Genomic DNA, 23,737 nt, shown 5'->3' on the forward strand with positions numbered 1-23,737 from the left:
GGAGTAGAAAAGAATGTCACCTGGTAAATATGATCTAAAAAAAACTATAGCTAACAGAATACATAATAGTGAAAGACTGAAAAAAATGAAGAAGGAAACAAGGACATCCACCCTCATTATTCTACTCAGGATAATATTTTAAAAATTACACTAAAAATTACAAAGCATTGTTGAAAAAAAATTAAGGTTGTAAATAAACATATAAATACACCATGTTCATGAACTGACAGACTTATTATTGTTAAGATTTCAATTCTCCCCAAATTGATTCACATATTCAACAAAATCCCAGTCAAAAATCTCAGAAGGTTTGTGTAAACAATGATGAGCTAAAATGTATATAAAAATGAAAATGACCTAAAATAGGTAAAGCAATTTTGGAAAAGAGAACAAAATTGGAGGACTCACACTAGCTAATTTCAAAACTTACCATAATGCTACAGAAGTCAAGACTACCTGAATATAGGTATATGTATAGAAATTGAACTGGACACATATAGTCAAGAAAGGCATCCCAAAATTTCAATTGATAAATGATAATCTTCTAATCAACTGTTGCTCTATAAACTTAGAGAAAAAGTAAACTCTGATTCTTACCTTATACCATACACAAAATCTACCTCAAAATAGATTATAGTGCTATTTCTAAGAGCTCAAAAAATAAAAAGTAAAAAAAAAAAATACATAGAAGAAAGTATCCATCAACTTAGTATAGGGAAATACTTGTTAGACCTCACACAAAAGACAAACAAACAAACAGGAATCATTTAAAAAATATTGAAAATTCCAAGTTCATAAGAGCTAAAAAAGTTTTTTCCTTAGACAAAACCATTAAGAAGTAGGTAAGACAGAAATTGGGCAAAACATTTGCTTTACATCTCTGACAAGGAACCTACAGCTTCTTTGACAATACAAAAGAATAGACAGGAAGTTAGTTCAACTTTACAATGAGAAGATACATAACCCAGAATTAAGAAATAGACAAAACATATTAACAGACATTCCATCAAAAAAAAGATAAGCAAATGACTATTAAGAACATGAAAAAATGCTCAACTTCCTTAATTACAATGGAAATGCAAATTAAATTCATAATGAAAGACCTCTACAAACTTACTTAAATGAATTAATTTTTAAAATTATAAATATCAAGTGTGGCAATGATGTAGTGCAATTGGTAATCTCATACATTGCACCATCTCATACATAGTGGACATGTAATTTAGTACAAATATTTTCAAAAATAGTTTAGCTATGCCTTATAAAGTTAAACATACATGTAAAATATGACTCAGCAATCCCATTTCAAAGTGCTTACCTTAGAGAAATAAAAACATAGATCAACACAAATACTTGAACACTTTATTCATAATAATAAAAAACTGGAAATTACCTAAGTTTATCAGCAGGTGAATGGATAAGACATGGTGGTAAATTCATACACTGCAATACTATTCAGTAATAAAAAAGGAACAAACTGTTAATACACACAAATGCATGAATAAGAGCCAAAATATTATGCCAGGTGGAAGAAGACAGATACAATTGAACACATATGCTCTGATTCCACTTATGTGAAGTTCTAGAATATGCAAAATTAAGCTACAGCGACTGAAAAATAGATTACCGGCTGCCTAAGGCTGAAGATAAGGGTCAGATAGACGAATAAGAGGCATGTGGGAAATAATCAGGTAATAGAAATGTTCTATATCTTTCCTGGAACAGTGGTTACATGGATGGCTAGTGGTTACACAGATGTATATATCTGTCAATCTCATTAAACTATTCACATAGAATAGGTCTGTTTTTATAACTTTAGACAAGTTGCCCATTAGTCACAAGTATGCTTGAGCCACTATGTTTGCAAACAGACATTTTTTTTTTTTTTTTTTTTTTTTTTGAGACGGAGTCTCGCTCTGTCGCCCAGGCTGGAGTGCAGTGGCGCAATCTCGGCTCACTGCAAGCTCCGCCTCCCGGGTTCACGCCATTCTCCTGCCTCAGCCTCCCAAGTAGCTGGGACTACAGGCGCCCGCCACTACGCCCGGCTACTTTTTTGTATTTTTAGTAGAGACGGGGTTTCACCGTTTTAGCCGGGATGGTCTCGATCTCCTGACCTCGTGATCCGCCCGCCTCGGCCTCCCAAAGTGCTGGGATTACAGGCGTGAGCCACCGCGCCCGGCCGACATGTTTTAATTATGGTAAAATATACACAACAGTTACTATTTTAACAATTTTGAAATAAACAGTTCTGTGGCATCAAGTACATTCACATTGCTGTGAGATTATCACAGCGATCCACCTCCAGAACTTCTACATCTTTTCCAACTAACACTCTGTACCTGTTAAATACTGACTCCCCTTTCTCCCCTTTCCCCATCCCCTGGCAACCACCATTCTCCTTTCTTCCTCCAAGAATTTGATTACTTAACGTACCTCATAGAAGTGGAATCATACAACGTTGTCCTTTTATGACTGGCTTATTTCACTTAGGATAATTTCTTCAAGGCTCATCCATATTGTAGCATGTGCCAGTTTTCTTTTTTTAAGGCTCAGTAATATTCATTACACACACACACACACACACACACACACACCCCACATTTTGTTTATCCATTCATCTGTGCATGGACATATGGGTGGCTTCTACTTTTTGTGTATTGTAAATAATGCTGCTGTGTACATGGGTGTACAAACACCTGTTTGAGTATATCATATTTCATTTTCTTATAAATCCGGAAATGAAATTGCCAAATCATATGGTAATTCTATTTTGAATATATTGGGGAATTGCCATACTGTTTTCCGTAGTGGCTATACCACCAGAAATACACAAATGTTCTAATTTCTCCACATCTTTACCAAATTCAAATACATTTATATATGTATAGATATTATATACATGTAAATATATTATGCATACTTATATATCTATGTATAGTTCCTATTCTTATGGGCTTGAGGTAGTATCTACTTGTGATTTTGATTTGCATTTCAGGTGTTTAGCATCTTTTCATTATTGGCTATTTTGTGTATATTTTTTAGAAAAATATACATTCAGATCATTTGCCCGTATTTTAAGTTGGTTTGTCTGAGCTTTTTGTTGTTGAGTTGTTGAGTTGTAGGAGTCCTTTATATATTCTGGATATCAATTCCTTGTCAGATATATGATTGACAAATATTTTCTCCCATTCCGTGGATTGTCTTTGGGTTGCCTTTTCACTCAGTTTGAGTGTCCTTTGATGCACAGAATATTTCAATTTTATCCAACTTACCTATTTTTTTTATTTTGTTGCCTGTGCTTTTGATATCACATCCAAGATGTCATTGCCAAATAAAATGTTATAAAGTTTTTACCTTATGTCTTCTTTTAAGAATTTAATAGTTTTGGGTTTTGTATATGGGCCTTCCTTCCATTGTGAGTTAATTTGTGCATATGGTGTAAGGTAAAAATCCAACTTTTTTATGTGTGAATATCTAGATTTTCTGATGCCATTTGTTGCAGAAAAAGACTACACTTTCTTCATCATATTTTTGGCAGTCTTGTTGAAAATCACTTGACTATATATGCAAGGGTATATTTCTGGATCTGTATTCTATTTCACTGGCTTATGTGTCTGCTTTTATATCAGTACCACGGTGTTCTGATTACCATAGCCTTATAGTAAGTTTGAAAGCAGGAAGTATAAGATATCCAACTTCATTTTTTTTTCCAAGATTGTTTTGGCTATTCAGGGTTCCTTGAAATTCTATATGAATTTTAGGATGGATTTTTCTATTTCTGAAAGAAAAGTCATCAAGATTTCTATAGAGATTATATGAATCTGTAGGTCTTCATGTGGTATTCACAATTTACCAATATTAGTCTTTCAGTCCATGAACATGGAATGTAGTCCTAATTATTTGTGTTTTCTTTAACTGCTTTCAGCAGTGTTTTGTAGTTTTTAATGTACAGGTCTTTTTCCTCTTTGGTTAGGTTTATTCCTAAGTATTTTACCCTTGTTGATGCTATTATAAATTGAATTGTTTACTTAATTTTTTCTAATTATTTTCTTAGTTTCAAATTGTTCATTGTCACAATATAGAAACACAAGATTTTGTGTCTTGAATTTGCATCGTGCAAATTTGCTGAATTTGTTTATTTATTGATTTATTTATTATTTCTAACAGTTTTTCTGTAATATCTTGGGGTTTTTTAAATATAAAATGTGTTATCTGCAAACAAAAATAATTTTATTTCTTCCTTTCCAATGTAAATACTTTTTATTTTTTTTCCTTGCCTAATTGCTCTGGCTAGGACTTCCAGTACTATGTTGAAAAGAAGTGTCAAAAGCAAATCATCCTTATCTTGCTTCTTAGAGGAAAAGCTTTATAGAATGAGTTAGAAAGCATTTCTTCCTCTTCAAATTTTTGCAACAGTTTGAGAAATATTGGTAGTAATTCTTAAATATTTGGTAGAATTCACCAGTAAAGTAATTTAATATTGGACTTTTCTCTCTTGAAAGGTTTTGGTTATTAATTCAGTCTTTTTAGTAGTTTTAGGTCTATGTCTATTTAGCTTTTCTATTTTTTCATGATTCAGTCTCAGTAGGTTGTATGTTTCTAGGAATTTGTCCATTTCATCTAAATTATTCAATTTGGGTGTACAATTATTCATAGTACACTCTTAAGATTATTTTTATATTTCTGTAAAATCATCCCCTCTTTCATTCCTGATTGTAATTCAAATCTTCTTTCCTCTTAGACAATCTAGCTAAAGTTTATCAAATGTGTTGATCTTTTCAAAGAACCAGCTCTTGGTTTTGTTGATGTTCCCTATTGTTTCTCTATTTTCCATTTTTATTTATTCTCTCTAATCTTTGTTATCTTGAAAATATGTTTGTATAATATAAAATTATATCTCAATATAATTCATTTTTAAAGTTAAGAAATTACCACGTTGTCATTCAATAACTGTACCTAGCTCAGGTTTTGTAAAATACTGTGTGTGAGTGCGTGAGCGAATGAATGAAAGAACAAGTGAGTGAGCAACTGGCCTGCCATTAAAAAATAGGACCGTTTCTCCCTCTCTTCTCAATGGCAAGCCGTTTTCAAGTGGCCTTGCCTCATTGGTTAATATAACTGTTATTGTTTTATATTAAGCAACTATTAAATGGCATGTACTACTCTAGATGCTTCACAAACTTAACATTCCCTCATCCAATCCTCTTTAACGCTGATGTTATTATCCTCACTTTGCACATAGGCAGAAAAATGAGATCTGATGTGATATGTAAGCTCAAGTGACTAATGTATGCCAGTATCAAGAATCAAATTCACTCCTGTCTGATTCTAAAGCTATATATTTTTCCATTCTACCTTTTCTGATTTTGGTATTTCAAGGAATAAAATACCTAGTATATGACTTAGTCTCAGGATTTAGAGAGATAGATACAGGTTACTTTTTGTGATGCAGATTTATGACAAGATTCCCAGAAATGTAGTATAACACATAAGTGTGACCTTATGAGCAGAAAAATCACCTTAGTTTCACTAGTCCACCCTGTTTGGGAACTAGGAAACTTTCAGTGTTACTCAACACAGTAAATTAACCACCGATGGCCCACTTCCTCTTTCTTTACCTAGAAAAAATACTTCCTCAAAAAGAGACTTCTACTGTGCGTGATGATGGTTGCCATTCAACATGCAATTCCTTTGTTGGGAGGAGTTAGCTCTAAGCTACTCCATTGGTGACTGAATTTTAACACGCCAGTCCACATATGACTGCCTATATAATCTAAGTCACTCTGGTTTTGCTATCCCAGGATCCACCTTCTACACAGTGCACACTGCATGAATTATAGAAACTAGACTATGGGAAAGTTGACAGTTGCTTCATTTCTCCAGAAAAGCCACATGCCTGCAGCTGTCAAGGGTAGCCCGACCAATGTACCAGGTCACTAGTTCAACACTTGTGGAGAGTTGAGGGCACTGATCCCCATTCTAAAAGATTCTCAACATAGAGAACTAGAAAATATCAGTCTTAAGAGAGTATTATCAATGTTCCCTGAAGGGATTCATTCTATTTTTGTAAACCCCAACTGGTTTCTTAAATATTTAATCCATCATGCAATCAGAATAGTTGTAATCACCTATCATCAAACTGGAAGAAAATATTATTTTTTACACAAAGAGATCATTGTTTCTTAAAAGCAGTAAATGATACATGCCTGATAAGCAAAAATAATACATTTGTTCAGAGGATTAAGCACTTTGAGATGGATTGTTCAGAGAAAGTTTTGTGGGAAGATTCCAATGTAAAATGGGACTGGGGAAAGCACAACATGAAAGGCAGAGTAGTATTTACAAAGACAAAGGAGGAGCCAACCTTTGATGCTGGTCCTCTAATCCTTACACATTCCTCCCTGCTCAGGGCTTAAAGACTTCTAAAAACTGACTCTTGCTTCTCTCTGCAAGTGTGAGACACAAATTTCTACCACCATTTACTAGCCAAGTGATTCAGGCAACTCATGCAACCCCTCTGCACTTCAGGTGATGAATATATGAAAAGATAATCACATCTGCTAGCAGCTGGGGATTGAAGGACTGTGCGTACAAAAGAAAAAAGCACAGTGCCTGGAATACAGAAACCAGTCAACAAAAGCATTTCCTTTCCCTTGACCTGTTCAGAACTTTTTTTTTCTTTTTTCTTTTTTTTTTTTTTTTGAGATGGAGTCTCTCTTTCTCACCCAGGCTGGAGTGTAGTGGCGTGATCTCAGCTCACTGCAACCTCCGCCTCTGGTGTTCAAGTGATTCTCCTGCCTCAGCGTCCTGAGTAGCTGGGATTACAGGCACCCGCCACCAAGCCAGGCTAATTTTGTATTTTTAGTAGAGATAGGGTTTCACCGTTTTGGCCAGGCTGGTCTCGAACTCCTGACTGCAGGTGATCTGCCTGCCTCAGCCTCCCAAAGTGCTGGGATTACAGGCGTGAGCCACCGTGCCCGGCCGAACTTTTCTTTGCCTAATACCAATGCATTGTAAACGTATGGGAAAAAAGATTAATTGGGTTGCAAGGAGACTTGAGTGCTAGTCTTGCCTTTACCACATAATGAGCTGGGTGGTCTGGGGTGGATAATTTTGGTTTGCCATTGTTGCTTTCTCTTTGAAATGAAGAGGATAGCCAGGAACTCCAAGATTCCTTCCAGCTTATTCATTCATGTCTTTGCATTGCTGAGCATCACCCCAGGGATGTTTTATCATCTCAGGCAGTGAGGAATTGGGATCCCTTGTGTTCCCCTAGCACCCTTTCTATTAACCCGAGAGTGTGCTGGAGGATACTGCTTTTCTGGAGAGCACACACTTCATATTGGGCGACTGTGACACAGGCATCTGAGTGGTCTCTGGCAGGACTTTGCAATATCCGCCCTGGGAAATGGCAAGGGCACCCGAGGACCTGTGAGCTGGCAGGGCCGTGTCACCCCAAAAGACAAGGACTCTGAGAGGAGGTACTTCACCAACACTCTACAGCTGTGTGAAGAAAAAAAGAAAATGGTTGATGAATTTCCACTTTCCACAGAGTAAAGAAATATTTTTATGTTATTTGTTTCCAGCCTGAGCGGGGGGCTTTTCATGCATGACCAAGGAACTCTCCTCCCACAGGTGGGGATACACTGCCACCTGCTGGTCCTCTGCTTCTTTACACAAAGGAACACCTTCCCAAACCAAAGCAATGGTGACTTTCTCGGACAGCATACTTAGATATATCAGAAAATATTGATAGTTACTAACCTATTAATTGTGAATGTCTGATTAAATGTTGAGGGTCTTGTAGAGTTAAATTTCAAGATAATTCCTCTGTGTATACTCAAGCTCACGCAACTAAAAGAGATCTTGACTAAAATTGGCAGCCAAGATTCTTAAGGCTTCCTTCAGCAATTCAATAATTCACTTACGTGTACAAGGAATCTTTCAACATGTGGAAGTATTTTCAATACATTATATCATGTGGGGTTGTTAAAAAAGCTTTATACTTGGAACTTACTACTTAGTATTTGTATATATGCCACATGAAAATAATAAAACTGCATTCTTGTTCAACACTTTTGGCATTGGTATTCTCAGTGATTCAGATTTTCCCTCATTAATCCGCATCATTAGTCTGTGTGATTAATCTTTTACTATTGGAATGGTGCAGAGGTTAAAAGTTAATATGGATATAAATGGAACAAGCTCAGTAATTTTATCAACAAAGTGATTTGAGGCTAAGAGTTCAGGAACATTTTATTTGAAGTGGCTTTTGTGTTTCACTCTCACAGATGGTGTTCTTTGATTCTGGAACCTCAAATTGTTTTAACACATCCCACCATCCCAATGTTCAGTGTATGTGATTGATATGTGTGTCTACCCTGGCAAATAATACTTAAGAGTGAAATGCCAATCTTCCCTTTTCAACCTGAAGTTTGGTCCACAATAAAAATGGCATATAGATTATTATGTAAGCAAATCATTTAGTTCCACATTGTCTTAAACGTTTCCATTTTGAAGCTAGATTTTGGCTTTGGCTTTGCATAAAAAAGGGTCCACTGAAATGTTATGTTTGGCTCTAGGGGGTGCGGATTATTCCATCCCTACAGCAAGAAGAAAAAAAATCATGACATTTCTAGCCAACAAGGCTTTTAAAAATATTGATATCCAGTCTCCGATCACCCTACTTCATAAGCCTAATGGGAGATGAAACGGAACTTACCCGTCTTCAACTTCCCCTCCCCTTTGTGTGCTCTTCCCCTCTCTTTCAAGTACAGTATTCTCCAAAGTTATTGAACCTTAAAGTCAGACTGATAGATGCTTCTGACATGGTGAGAGGGGACCAGCTCTTTCAACCATGTCACATGACAGGAAATCCCACTTCCTCCAGAGAGAAACCTCCATGTGTCCCAACAAGACAAGAACACTCTCAGTGGATGGTCAGGCTACCCATGGGACTCATTTGGTACATATTGCACGTACTCATATTAATCTTCTGATGTGCACCAGCTCCTTATTTTCAAGACTAGGCTGCATGCTCTGGTTTGGGAGGCAGTGCAGTGGGACGAAAGTACTCCCAGCTTTGGAGACATGAACATGGGGTTCCATGCCCCTTCTGTTACTTATTGTCTTTACGGTCCTGGAGAAATAACTTAGCCCCTTTAAGCCTCCATTTCCTCATTCATAAAATTAGGATCACATTACCCACCTCACACAGTTATTGAATGCACAGCAATAACTTTGGTTATATGCCAAGCACTGTCTAAACACCTTATATGAATTAGCTTACCTGATGACCACAACAACCTCTTTAGGATCATCTTCCCCATTTCACGGATAAGGAACCGAGACAAAGGACAGATTAAGTCATTTCCCCCAAGGTCTCAATGCTCAGATATGATAAAGCCTCATATCAAAGCAGGTCTGGCTCCAGAGTTAGAGCTCATCTTGTGACATGGACTCTCAGCCCAGATAACGCCTGGCAATTAGTATATGAGAAATAAATCACAAGCATTTTGTTAGCCAAGCACACAGACCAAGTTTGTGACTTTGCCATCACTCTTGGACATTGTGTTCTATACACAGAGGGCTTTAGGCATTATGTGTTGCTTGCTCATTTTAATACATTTTCCAATAACACGTGTATGCATATGCCTTTAACCCAAGAGTTTCCTTGGGTTGCTGTCACAAAGTACCACTAATGCTGAATGGTTTAAAACAATTGAAATGTATTGTCTCACAGTTTGGGAGGCTGGGAAGTCTGAAATCGAGGTGTTGTCAGGGTCATGTTCACTCTGAAGCTTGGTGGTTTGTGGGCAATCTTTGGCATTCCTTGGTTTGTAAATGCTTCACTCCAATCCTCTGTCATCTGTGTCTGTCTTCACATGGATGTATTCTTATAAGGACACTAGTCATATTGGGTCAGGGGTCCACCCTACTTCATTATGAGCTCATCTTAACTAATTACATCTGCAATGACCTTATCTCCAAAAAGGTCATGTTCTGAGGTATTAGGAGTTGTGACTTTAACATATCTTTGTGGGGAGACACAGTTGAACCCATAAAAAGAGCCATCTCCCCTAGCCATATCTGGATGATCTTAAGCAACTGAAACCAGAAGATAATGAATCAGATAAACCTGAGTTTAAGCTAAATGTGTGTTTTAGGGAAAGATAATGCAGTGACTAAGGTTCAGTTTACTTATCTGTTAAATGAGGATATTTACAGCACCTGCCACAGAGAGTTGATATGATCTTTAAATAAAAAAAAAAAAAAGATACATGAAACACTGAGCACCATGCTTGGCACATGGTAACCCCACAGTCCTACTAGTTGCAGGGGATACATTATGCCTAGTGTCATTGTTTGGAAGCACCTCTACTGAAATTGCTATATCCCCAGCTTTTCTTCCAGCCTCCTTCTGCTCTCCTTTGAAAGACAGTGAACACCCGCCTACCCATAACAGAGTCAGAATAATCACTCTGATTTAAAAGTTAGAAGTTTCACTAGGTTAGCATTTTCCTTGGAGATTTAGCATCCCAGGCTAAGTCAACTTTGCCTCTCATCATTGTCAAATCTGGCTTCTGAACACCCCACCGTGTGAAACAGGAATTGGCTGCAGCATGAAGGTATTGCTGGAGCAATTGCAAGGCAAAGGAAGTGAAAGAAAAAAAAAAACAAAACAAACCAGTGGCTTCAGCTACGTCTGCTGCAGAAGCCAGCCGATGAAAATTAACCCAGCTCTTTAATCACAATCTTCTATCCCAGAATTTTCAGCTGAGAGAAATGATAATCATTTGGTTCATTGATTCTGGGATTAATCACTGAAGTTAATCTTGGCATGTATTGATTCCATTTCTGCTGGCTGTAACTAAAGTGTTCAAATTACTTATTCCAACTCTGACAAGAATAGGTTCCCAAAACAAAGGAAGTCAAAGATGAGCTATTACACCTGACAGCTCTGCACAGCACCCAGTGACAGCACTGACTACCCATCCTTCGGCAAGATGGGCCCCTAATAGGGAAGAATCAAGCACCTGTTCTTGCTATTATACACTGGTGTTTTATAAAGTTGATCCATCAGTGTCTAGAAGAAATGGAGGTGGTTTTATCTTGAAGAATCTGAACTCAAAATCTGGCTGCACAGACAAGCAAATTATGTAGGCAACACAGTAGAACAGGCCGATTTCACCAACTTGACTTTTATCAGAAAACACCAGTATTTGTTACCTTGCAATCCTCCAGAGTTTCCTGGTGCTGACCATTTGCCAGCATAAGCTTCATTGCAAAGCACAATTTGCAAAATAACATGGTGCATTCACCCCTTCCTTAACCTGTGAACTTCAGGCATGATAGTTACAATGAAATATCTTTTATTGAGTATACTTTTGTATGGCATGCTAAAAGAGACAGAGGGGACTTCTATCTTGGTGTTACAGTTGACTAGGTATTCTAAGTGGCCCTGTCACTATAGTACACCTAAATCTTAGGAAGGATACTGACTGCATTTGTAGCTCGGCTGGTTTTAAGAATGTAGGGAAAGCTTCAAAACCTATAAATAGTAAACAGGAACTAGAGGGATAAAAACAATGGGTGTGTGAGTGAGGGATTTAACAATAATACAGGACAGAACTAAAATACTGGACAAAAAGAGTATGTAAATAAGGAAGGAGAACCATTCTAAGTGCCTTATATTAATACAAATGGGGGATTCAGTTCTTGTTTAACTTACGTTTTCTCAACCTCGCACCAATGAAATTTGGAGCTAGCCCATTCTTTGTTGTGAGGGACTGCCCTGCACACTGTAGGATGTTTAACAGGATCTCTGTCCTCTATCCACTACATGGAAGTTGCAGAAAAATGTTTCCAGACATTACCCAACATACCTTGGGGACAAAATCACCACCCCCACTTAAGACGACTAATTTAATTTGACACTTTTTAAGCTAAACATATATGTTAAAATTTCAAAGATAATCAATCAAAGAAATATCCTATATACATTCCATACAAATTGAGAGAAAATTCTATAAAGCAAGAAACGAAAAAACAAAAAAAAAATCTTAACCCAAACAAGGCAAAATGCATACAAAAATGGAACAACTATATATCAGAAAGATGGCAGAAAGCAAGTTCAAATATATCCAGCATAACATCGAGTTCCACTTCCAAAAAGGTGACATGCAGAGCTCTATGGACTCACTTTCCAGCAAAGCAGTCATAACTGGGGAAATTTACATAATGAGAAGCATTTTAAGTCTCTGAAAATTGTACTATGGGCATACAGCAAATAAAAACCACTTTTAAAAAAATCTACTAAATCAGAGTAAAAATAAAAATAAGATATGTGGCACTTGAGTCATGATCTGCTTCCTCCCTCACCCCCACGCTGATAAGTGGCATACTTGACTCTTCATTCTTTGTACACCACTCATCATCACGCTCAGCACGATGGAATCACAGGGAATTGGAAAGTGTGTCAAATAACACCTTGAGGATGCAATCGGCCAAATCAAGAATCGTAGAAATTTTCAGAACAAACGGCATTATTTCTCCAACATATAAATGGCAAGAAAAAAAGAGGAAGAAAACGCCCTGATTTCCCTTCCTCGCCAATATTGTTGCAAGAAATGTGATTCCATTCTCAACTGCCAGGAAAGAATACTGAACTTTGTCTAAGCCTGTCCACCCAATCCTTTTCCCTCACTCCTACGAGTGGTCCACAGGTGATCATGTGATCCAAGGCTTCCAAACAAATAGAACAAATAAATTTCAAACCTTTTTCTGGGAAATGTAAGTCAATGATACACTCTATTCACTCAGACATTTCAGTACACACATGTAAGAGTTCAAACTGCTGAAAATGTTTTAACCATAATAAAAGTAAATCTGAGAGATAAGCTAATAAGCATAGAAAAATGGACAGGGCAACAGCTTCACAAAAGAAAGAAGCTGAGATCTTGAACAAACTGTTCCAAAACCCTATAAGATAACTCTTTATAGCTCAGTTAGCTACTATTTTCCTTTTATTTCAAAGCCAATTTGACTGGAGCTGTTCTATAACTTGCAGAAATACCACCACAGCATTTTAACATAGGTAAAGCCACAGCATTTAGCCACAGCATTTAACGTAGGTAAAAGTCTCTGGAAACAAAGGCACTGGGCTTAAAATTGTTAGGCAATGCCACCTCTTCAAGGAATAGATCAAAAATGAAGGGTCTCTGTCAGAATCTGTTTCATAGAAAAAAAAGAAAAGAATGAAAAGTCAAGTACACCACTTATCAGACACCAGTGTTCCTGATTAAGTCACCCATTATTTTTAAGGAAGAAGAAAATAACAAGCATTCAAAGGCATGAAAACAACTAAGTAAAGAGTTAAACCAGTTGCCAGGTGCATTTCATTTATTTTTAACCAATGTATGTGTTTGATAACTTTTAGGTCTTTGGTACTCCTTATGACTGTTAAGTTATTGTTTCCACTTTTCTGATAGGTTTTTATTCCTGTTTTCAGATTAATTCAACTGTTCAAGTCAATGAATAGATATTGCTTTCCTACTGTGAGGAAGTCAGCACTGCTCAAAAGTGCTGATGGCTCAAAAACAAACATGACTGGTCTCTTCCCTAAGGAACTCATGGGTTAGAAGAGCACACAGACACCATATCAAAACTATCCTCAAACTGTATTCTAACTTCCACGAAAGAGTTACATACAGAGGAGAAGAGTTGGAGATCCTGACTGATACATCACTCAAGACTCATAGTTTATGCAATTATTTTTCCATAAATTGAGCCATCAGCCTATCCCAACAAAAAGCAGTAGGAAAAAATATGACACAGATTACATACCACTTTCCATTTGGACAAGAGAAGCCTGCCTGCGCTTCTCATGTTAGACATCTTATTTGCCAAAACATTTATTTTAAAAGAGGGGAGAAAAAGAAAAGACAGCAACATAAAAATTTGCCTGCATGTCCAAGTTTCCTCTTATCAATAACCTCTGAAAATTTGGACGAAATTTTTATGCTTGCCTCAAACCCTGCCATATTTTCAGTTTCTAAGTCTTGGTTTTGGTTTCTGGTCTCCTCAGATCAGAAGATATCTCATTCTTATACTTTCATGAGATCTAGTAATAATACTAAATTCCATGCCGTCTTCTGACAAAGAGCCGGACTTGGATATGTATTTCAACTCCTCTATATTTGTCTTTTCAAGACACTTCTCAATGATCACTTAATAATCTGTTTTGCAGAGTGTAGTCCATTTTCACACTGCTGATGAAAATATACCTGAGACTGGGAAGAAAAAGAGGTTTAATTGGACTTACAGTTCCACGTGGCTGGGCAGGCCTCAGAATCATGGCATGAGGCGAAAGACACTTCTTACATGGTGGCAGCAACAGAAAAATGAGGAAAGAGCAAAACCAGAAACCCCTGATAAGCCCATGAGATCTCGTGAGACTTATTCATTATCACGAGAATAACATGGGAAAGACCAGTCCCCATGATTCAATTACCTCCCCCTGTGTCCCTCCCACAACACGTGGGAATTCTGGGAAATACAATTCAAGTTGAGACTTAGTTGGGGACACAGCCAAACTATATCACAGAGCTTGAGCAATTGATTCATTGTTAAGATTTGCTAATAATTCAATTTTATGTGTGTTTTATAATTTCCTATTCTACCTAAGTGTCCTCTCCCTAATATATTCTAAAATATTCTTTTTCAAACTTTTCATTTTATATCACAGCCCTATACAAACACACACACACATATGCACACATACATGCACACACACAAAATGAAAATATCATAGAACAGTTGCTGTTACTACTCTAATATTTGCTGTCTTATTCAATGTTTTAAAATTCTGGTTGCAAACAACCAAACTGATTTCTCCACCTGTAATGTTTGGACAACACAGCTCTAAAGAGTTTAATGAACTGTATAACTGTGGAAATCTCTTCCAAGATTCTAGTTTCCAATTTCAATTTGGTTATTTCTATTCTTTAATGTTTTCTGTTATTAACTGAGAGGTATATGAGACATCCTCAAATATTATCTAAGACCTCTCTCAAATAAAAGAATGATGTCATAGTACTGGGTCTTCCTTATGGTAAAACATTTATATATAACTATGCATATAACAAAATTTAGTTCATTCTATTAATTTTCTAGAAATGATTTTGATAATTGTAAGTTATTTGTTATTTCCAGTTTGTCACAATATTAATTCACTGCCCTTTGCTTTTTAATAATTAACATTGCTAGTTTTCTGCTTGCTTTTCCTCAATGCCCACACATCATTACTGACATGGATTTGGAATCCAGTGAGTGATCTTCATTTTCGTAATTATCACCTACAATCACAAAACATTGCTATCATAAATTTAATTTACAAATATTATAGAAATTCTCTCATCCACAAAGTTGTTGACCTTTTCTTTCTAATTTCATCGAACTACATGTATATACAGTCAATAAATCTGAGAAAGTGCACACAATGAAATATTCATTAGAAACCCAAGTAGTTTGCCAGACTTTGGTTTGTAACCATATGGTCCATGATCTCTAAATTCTTTAGCATTGTAACCTTCATGCAAATTCTAATATTCTATCCAAAGAAATCTGCCAATCCATATCTAAATTAAATTTAAAAATGAATCAAAAGCTTTCAGCCTTATTCCTGGCTCCTAGGCCTGCAAAGTAAGCAGCAGTCAAGCTGGCTTGCAGTGGATTGACTAAGTACTGGTTCAAAGGCCTCTAGTAATCACTAGGAGTCTAACAGATCCTGACCCCCTGGTGCCTACAGGAGGCCAGATAGCATGGAGCCTTTAGGAGCAGGTTCGGGTGGCTCCATGTCAATACTTCGGTAGTCCCTACAGGGGTTGCTCTTTTGTTCTCAATAGCATCTTCCCAAAGATTTACCTTTTCCTTCCAGCCCCATCTGCCTTCTTTCAAAAATTCTCAGCAGATGATCTAGTCTTAGATTTTACCATCTCTGCTGCCAATAACAGCTAACATGTATTGAGGGTTTCTTACAGCCCCATGGACTGAATATTTGTGTCCCTCTGAAATTTGTATGCCAAAACCTAATCTGTAATGTGATGGTATTTGGAGACGTGGACTTTGGGATGTAATTATGTCATAAGGATGGAGCCCTCATGACGGGATTCATGCCTTAATAAGAACAGACAAAACAGCCTGCTCCTATCTCTCTATACCATCTGAAAATACAATGAGAAGACAGCAATCTGCAGGCCAGGAAGAGTGCTCTCACCAGGCACTGGATCTGCCGGTGCCCTGATCTTAGACTTCTCAGTCTCCAGATCTGTGAAAAATAAATATTGCTTAAGCCACAAAACCTATGGTAATTAGTCACAGTAGTGCAAATGGAAGAGGCCTATGGCTAGGCTCAATTTTAATTAACTTACATGTATGAATTCACTTAGCATTCCTGACAGCCCCAGGAAGTAAGAACTGTCAGTATCTCACTTTTAAAGATGAAGATACTGAGTCACCTTAAGGTTAAGCTAACTACTCACGATCTCACCGTCGTTTTGTGGAAAAACAGAGCTATTAATCAGAAAATGTGACTCCGAAGGTGGAGTTCTTGACAATTACATTAAAGTACAGGCTCTTGGGGAAAGGCTTCCTCAGTCTCTCTCTTCTTCACATCTACAGATATGTACACTGTACCACTGACCATATCCCACCTATGTGCCTAGCTAAGGTTACCTTTCAACTTGTGTTCTAGAATTGTCCCCCCTCCTAGAGGCAACCGTCCCCTTTGTCTAAACCTTTCCAATTATGTCTTCCTAGTCCTTCAATGTAAAAACTAAAGCTAAAGTAAACGAAACCTACATTCAACCCTATTTAGTCCTGAACTTAGAGACACATCTTTCTTCCGTTTACAGCTGAGCTTCTTGAAAAAGTGATCTATTCCTCAATCCTAAATGATTACATTTATTTGTCTCAAATTTACTCAGTAATTTACTGAAAGCAATTTTGAAAGGCCCTGAAAGATCTCTCCCTGTGGAATTCAGTGTTTGTTGTCCTGTTCTAACTTTTCCATATGGTCAGCAGAATCTGGCAGAGTTGAGTGCTTTGTTCTAGAGGCAGTTCCTTTCATTTCTACAATCCTCTCCTGTTATTCCCTTCCTATCTCCCAGTGAGCTCATTATTGAGAGATTCTCATTGGGCTTTTTATTCTACCGGTTCCTTAACTGTATCAGTGGCCTCAACATCCTTACCTCAACCTCTTCTCTTTTTCATTTGGATACTACCCCACAGTCTCAATGATCACTCTTAGGCTTCTAACTGCAAGACATGCATTTAGCCCTGATTATTCATCTGAGCTCCAGCCTAAACTGCCTCAAATACCTCTGAAACAAATTCAAATGGATATTTTGCAGGCCACTCAATCTCAAAGCTAAAACGAATCCGCCACCCCCACCATAGCTTTTTCTCCTAATTTTTCTATCTTGACAATGGGACCGCCATCCATCACTATCTACCTTAAGCCTGTAACCTCAGACTCTTCTACTTCTTTCTCTCCCTCATTTTCCCTCTTTTCTAGACAGACTTCATCTAACCTTGTCTCTTCAATCAATCTCCTTTTCACCAGGTAACCAGTAAGCCAAAGTAAAGGAAGATGCTAGGAAAGACACTAGGTTTCCAACTCCTACTCTTAATACCTTTCCCCAACTCTACAACCTAGCATGGAGGTTCTTACCATGCGCCAAGCATTGCACTGACCACTTTATATATTTTATCTCATTCAATAATCCCAACTATCATTAGCCTCATCTTAAAAAACAGAAAACTCGGATAAAAGAAGTTAAATAAGTTGTCCAAAATAATACAGAATTAGAATTCTTACTGGGAGTTTATCTGACACCAAAACCATTCTCACAGTGACTGTCTCTCACAATGCTTGTTACAGCTTTCAGCCACTCTATCTGAAACAACATCCAAATGGCCCCTCTTCTGCCAGCCCCTTCTCTACCTCATCCTCAAATCCATTTTCATAGTGCCCTAAGATTTCACAAAAGAAATAAGTAATAAAGCCTAGCTAATTATGTCTTCCTAAAACATCAATTGGTGTCCCCTGCCTTATAGAACAAAATCGAAACTCTCTAGCCTGCAGTACAAAACCCCATGCATCTTTTGAACATCATCTCCCCGTCTTTTGCTCCTGTCCTCTCTCTCACATTCCAAGTTCTAGCTCTAATTAAATACATCCCATTATTGTACCTGTATCAACTACGTATTTTTTTATTTACTTTTCTGTGCTGCTCCCTTTCCCCTAACCTTTGCCCTGGCTCTAGTTGTTGTATTTACCCTTTAAACCCAATTAAAAGTGTCACTGCCTCTTTAAGACCAAGTTATACCTGCAAAGGTCAAATTATCACTCCCAGATAAACTAAAATGTCCCTTTACACAGCTCCCATGACACCTAGCTTTATTTGTACATACCTTTACTCATTCATGTGTCACAACTACTGCAATTGTTTTATATATCTGTTTTCCTCATCTCCCTCAATAGTTTTCTGATCTCAGCCCCTAATTCATGAGGAATAGAGAGTCTCCATGTTTTAAAAGTTAAAGGACAAATAAATGAAGTGATCCTAGCTGAAGGAATTAAAATAGAAGCACCAAGACGTTAAGCCGACACTAAAAGCATTCAAGAAAGATTGAACTGATTCAAAATTTACAGAAACAGAGAGAGAGAATAGAGACATGGCATTTGGCCAGTACAACACTATCTTACCTCTGCAGAGTGGATCTTTGCTTCTGGATTCTAAGTAGATAGGGAAAGAACTAACATTCAGAAAATTAGGGGTGTGGTCCACAGAGCATCACTGATAATGTGTATCTCCCTAAAAAAAATCATTCATGGTAGGGATAGGCAATGATACTATCACCCACAGTCATTTTCATGGGCACCTGAGATGGCTACAGCTGGGGAACGGTCCAGGGCTCCCACTACCTTGCAGAGGAAGATAAACAACTACTGGATCAACACGAAAAGAGGATGTAGATCCAACTGGATCCCTTTCCTCCTCTCAGGGCTGAGTTCTCTCCGGTATCCCTTCTCATTTCAGCGCTGTGTTTTCAGTTGCAAGGGATGGTCCAGGGTCCAGAAACAAACTTCATTTTCTTTCTTTTCTTTTCTTTTCTTTTTTTTTTAGACAGAGTCTTGCTCTGTCGCCCAGGCTGGAGTGCAGTGACGAAACCTCGGCTCACTGCAACTTCTGCCTCCCGGGTTCAAGCGATTCTCCTGCCTCACCCTCCTGAGTAGCTGGGATTACAGGCGTGCACCACCACACTCGGCTAATTTTTGTATTTTTAGTAGAGATGGAGTTTCACCATGTTGGCCAGGTTGGTCTCGAACTCCTGACCTCAAATGATTCACCCACCTCGGCCTACCAAAGTACTGGGATTACAGATGTGAGCTACTGCGCCTGGCCTGAACTTCTTTTTCAAAGCGTGCTAGAGAAAGGACGCAAGTGCAGCCCTGGACTGGACTCCCCTTTGTATATTACATGTGATTTGGCCGAAGTTATTTGAGTGAAAGCGGTTGGATAACCCTAGAAATTTAGTTAAAATGGCATTTGGGTAAGAAATGAAAGTCCTCACTCACTTGTTTTACATATATGCAATTTGGGTGTTGATGGTGGTTTGGAGGTGGGATAGTTTTTGCAACTCATTCTACACATTTGGCTATTTTTCAAAATGAATAATTTTTTTTTTCTTTTTGCTTGTCTTTCTTAAATTTCTAAATCATTTCAGCCAGTGTTCTGTTCTGCACAGTACATGATAGTTACAAGTGGGAACAGCTCATCCGAGCATGTTCCTGCAGTCCTGGAAACTGCGGGCGTCGGGGGCGGGGGGCCGGTTTTTGTGTGGGGCGGGCCTCCAACCTTGGGTTCAGGCGGGATGGTTGCCTCTGGATCCTGCTGCAGACCAGCTTCCCTCTGCTAGTTCCTATCTCACGTCTGCTTCCTTAGGTTTTTTTTTCTTGAGAGAGTCTTGCTCTGTCGCCCAGGCTGGAGTGCAGTGGCGCGATCTCGGCTCGCTGAAACCTCCGCCTCCCGGGTTCAAGCGATTCTCCTGCCTCAGCCTCCTGAATAGCTGGGATTACAGGCGCGAGCCCCCATGCCCAGCTTTTTGTATTTTTAGTAGAGACGGAGTTTCAACATGTTGGCCAGGCTGGTTTCGAACTCCTGACCTCAGGTGAAACAACGCATCTCAGCCTCCCAAAGTGCTGGGATTACAGGCGTCAGCCACCACGCCCGGCCAGTCTTCATATCTTTTGTCCTGTATCGTTGTTCTTTTTTCTGTTTGTCCCCCAGTCTCTTTCTAAAAAGGTTATTTGCCTCTTAACATTTAAGCATTGGAACTATTTCTGCGCTTTACCAAACGGCCACCAGAGGGGATCCTGAAACTCGGCGGTCCATTCTGTGGCTCTAAGCGCCCTAGAAGGACTCTGCTGCACTTGACCAATTCTCTTCTGAATTCCCCAAGTTTCCATCTCTCCGAGCCCCAAGAGGCTACCCTGTGCTTCTCTAAGCCCCACCCCATATTCTGCTCCCCAGGTCTCTAAAGACCCTTTGTTTCCATTCCGGCCCCATAGAACCCGCACCTCCTCAGGGCCAAAGGCACTGGTTTCCCCACTCTTCTTAGCCGCCGAGGCTAGCTAGAGTCCCGGTGTCAGCCACTACCTGCCGCAACTCACTAAGAAATGACCTTGACGACTGTCAAGACCATATCCGGGACTCCGAGGCGCTGAGTCCCCGCCCCGCAGCCCTCCACACCTTGTCACTTAAGCAAAATGCCTGCCCCTCCCTTCTCAGGGAAGGCGGCCAAGGATCCACCTGCCTCCCCTCAGACGCGCTGCTGTTTACCCTGCCCTCCGGCTCACAGCACTCCGCCGCCAGCTGTCACTCAAGACACCTGAGACGCGGAGATCAGGGCCGCTCTCTGTCCTTCCACAGAGGCACTGGCTCCCCTCTGAGCCTCCCGCGCCCTTCTCCGCGCCTCGGGGCCCCGGAACACCCCCATGTCATATGCCCGACACCGGCTCCAAATCTCCTTGTGATGTCGCAGCAGTCCTAGGCCTCCTCGTGTCCCGCCCGCTCTGCGTCCAGGTCCCTGGACAGGTCCGGTTGCTGGTCCCGTGCCCATGCTGCTAGGGGAGCATGGGGTGCGCTCCGCCTCCAGCCAACGTCTCCGCATCGGTGCCCTTGCCATCGCCGGGGGATAGAGCAGCCTTGCTTTACCGCTTTACCGGGTTCCAAGATCTACCTTCCCTCTCGTCCCTAACTCACACTGTGACCTATCTCAGGTGCACTCAGATGCTGTCCCCCAGCCCCATTCTCCCCTCTTCTCCGTAGTTTCAAGAACCTGGCTTCTCCCTGCTGCTTGCTCTCCCTGCTGTCTTCCAACTTTCCATTCTAAACCCCTCAGGGATGCTCTAACCTGCCCTTCCCGGGAGCCCCAATCCTGCTGTAGGCGTCCGAGGGTCCTCAGTCTTTTGCTCTAGAGGAAAGTGTTGCAGAGCCCCCCTCTCTACTACAACGGGGTGAGCTGTTCTTGACCGCTGCCCGGCTTGCCCGCTTCTGGGGCTCCCCAGGGTTCCCCCTTGTCGGCTGTTCTCAGGTGCTGGCACCCGCGCCCTGAGCCCGGCCCCCACTGTAGCGCCCTCATTTGGACCCTCCCTGGTTCCCCTGGTTGCGCCAGCACGGGTCCCGGCCATCATCGTCTGTCCCCAAACTTCGCTTTCTGACCCCATCCTGGAGGCGCCATTCTGAACTACTGTTACGACGTCGCCACCCCTAGGAAATCAATCCACTGACACCCCGAGAGATCAGTGCGCTCACCTGTAAAATGCTGTGCTAGTGCCTCCTTCCTCACAGGGCTGCTGGGAAGATGAAATGTAGTAATTTGCATGAAAGGTTTACAACGATGCCTGACACATGAGAGGTGTGTAGCATGCATTAGTCATTAGGATTATATCTTACCGTCCTAAAAACCTGAGTGACACACTTCTCTCATCCTCCTCTTCCGGCCTCAGGGGATGCCCTTCTCTGTCCACTTCCAGTTTTCCCCAAAGATACTAGCTCTTTTGGTCAATGCTTACCTTGGCTTATAACATCCTAAATGCCCACCTGCAAGAACTCTTAATCCTCAGAACCAACTCCAGGGAAAATTGTGTGCTTCACTGAAAAACTAGAGCACGCCCTTCTGGTTCTCATTCAGAATCTAAGAGGGGTCTGTCTGCTCCTTCATAATCTTGGAGCCATTTTATAAATCTGTAAATAGCCCTGCTTTTTTTTCCCCCTCTTTAGACCTCTTGTAACATCTTCCTGTCTCCCTTACTTAATGAGCTAGGTAAAATGTGAGACAAATTCATTTTGTGTCTGTAGTCATGATTTTACTTGCTTAAAAAATATTCATTGACTAAACCTATGAGTCCATTACTATTGTTTTCCCCTTCTTGTGGAAGAGAAAATGAAAGCTACGATTTGATTTGAAAGGAAGCTCTACTTGGCTTATCCTAAGGGGGTTCATGTCCTCTTAGCCTAGCTATGGCTAAAGAACCTCCAGTGAGGCTCCATGGAGCTGCTTTCCCAGCCACCAGGGGAAGGGAAGAGGTTGCAGGAGTCTTTTGTGCCTCACCTAACCCCACAGAGCCTTCTCCATATCCCACAGGCTACTGTGCACCCTGGCTTCCAAGAATAAACTGTCTTTCCTTCCAGCAGCTTCCATCCCAAGCCACCTACCTCCAGCCCTTAGAGGACTGGGGATCTGGCCTCCAGAAGAGGGCCTCCTAGACCACTGCTGTGAGCAGCCACCAACTGTTCCAGTGTTCTTTTCTGTAGAAGCGCCCTATCTGCAGTTCTGGGTTTCCCTCCTCCTTCTCAGCTGCTTTGACACCCACTCCACTTTCTGCTGTCATCTCAGAGCCAGCACCTTTCTCCTGGACATCATGTCTTGGTGCTTCTCATTAAGCTCCATCTTCATTCTCTCCCCACTTCCACTGCCATCTCCCAATTTGAAACCACATCTATTGGACTCCTCCTGTGTTCTTTTCCACTTGATGAAGTCTAAAACCTGGGGACTGATTAGTGGAAGCCCTAAGATATTAAACAATAATGATAATGGTAATAGTAATAGAAAAATAAAGCTTAATGCTATCAGGGAGAGTGTAAAGGTAACATCAGAAGGCATTAATTGTTAGATAAAATCAAACAATCGCAACTTTAAATATTTTACCGACATCCAATAATTTTGTGCCTGTTTCACATTTTTGAACGGTGGTTGGTATTTCTCACTCGATTAAAAAAATTTGAATATCTATTTTTGGAAACTATAAGGAATTTATTCATAAGAATTATTACATTTTAAAGTATGTTTTAAGAAAACTATTCTTGCCAGGTGCAGTGGCTCACGTCTGTAATCCCAGCATTTTGGGAGGCAGAGGCAGGTGGATCACAAGGTCAGGACCATCCTGGCTAACACGGTGAAACCCCATCTCTACTAAAAATGCAAAAAATTAGCCGGGCATGGTGGCGGGCACCTGTAATCCCAGCTACTCAGGAGGCTGAGGCAAGAGAATAGCTTGAACCTGGGAGGCAGAGGTTGCAGTGAGCTGAGATCACACCACTGCAGTCCAGCCTGGGCAACAGAGCGAGACTCCGACTCAAAAAAAAAAAAAAAAAAAAAAGCTATTCAT

General features: G+C 39.9%; 1 annotated feature.

Annotated features, from left to right (window-relative positions):
- Positions 21,222-21,888: an enhancer, noted in NCBI's record as "H3K4me1 hESC enhancer chr2:79220523-79221189 (GRCh37/hg19 assembly coordinates)". NCBI's record gives its function as "activates a minimal SCP1, AML or CMV promoter by ChIP-STARR-seq in primed H9 embryonic stem cells {active_cell/tissue: H9 hESC(primed)}" and the evidence as "EXISTENCE:reporter gene assay evidence [ECO:0000049][PMID:30033119]".

This window comes from Homo sapiens, chromosome 2 (genome assembly GCF_000001405.40).
Source record: "Homo sapiens chromosome 2, GRCh38.p14 Primary Assembly".
Classification (NCBI taxonomy): Eukaryota; Metazoa; Chordata; class Mammalia; order Primates; family Hominidae; genus Homo; species Homo sapiens.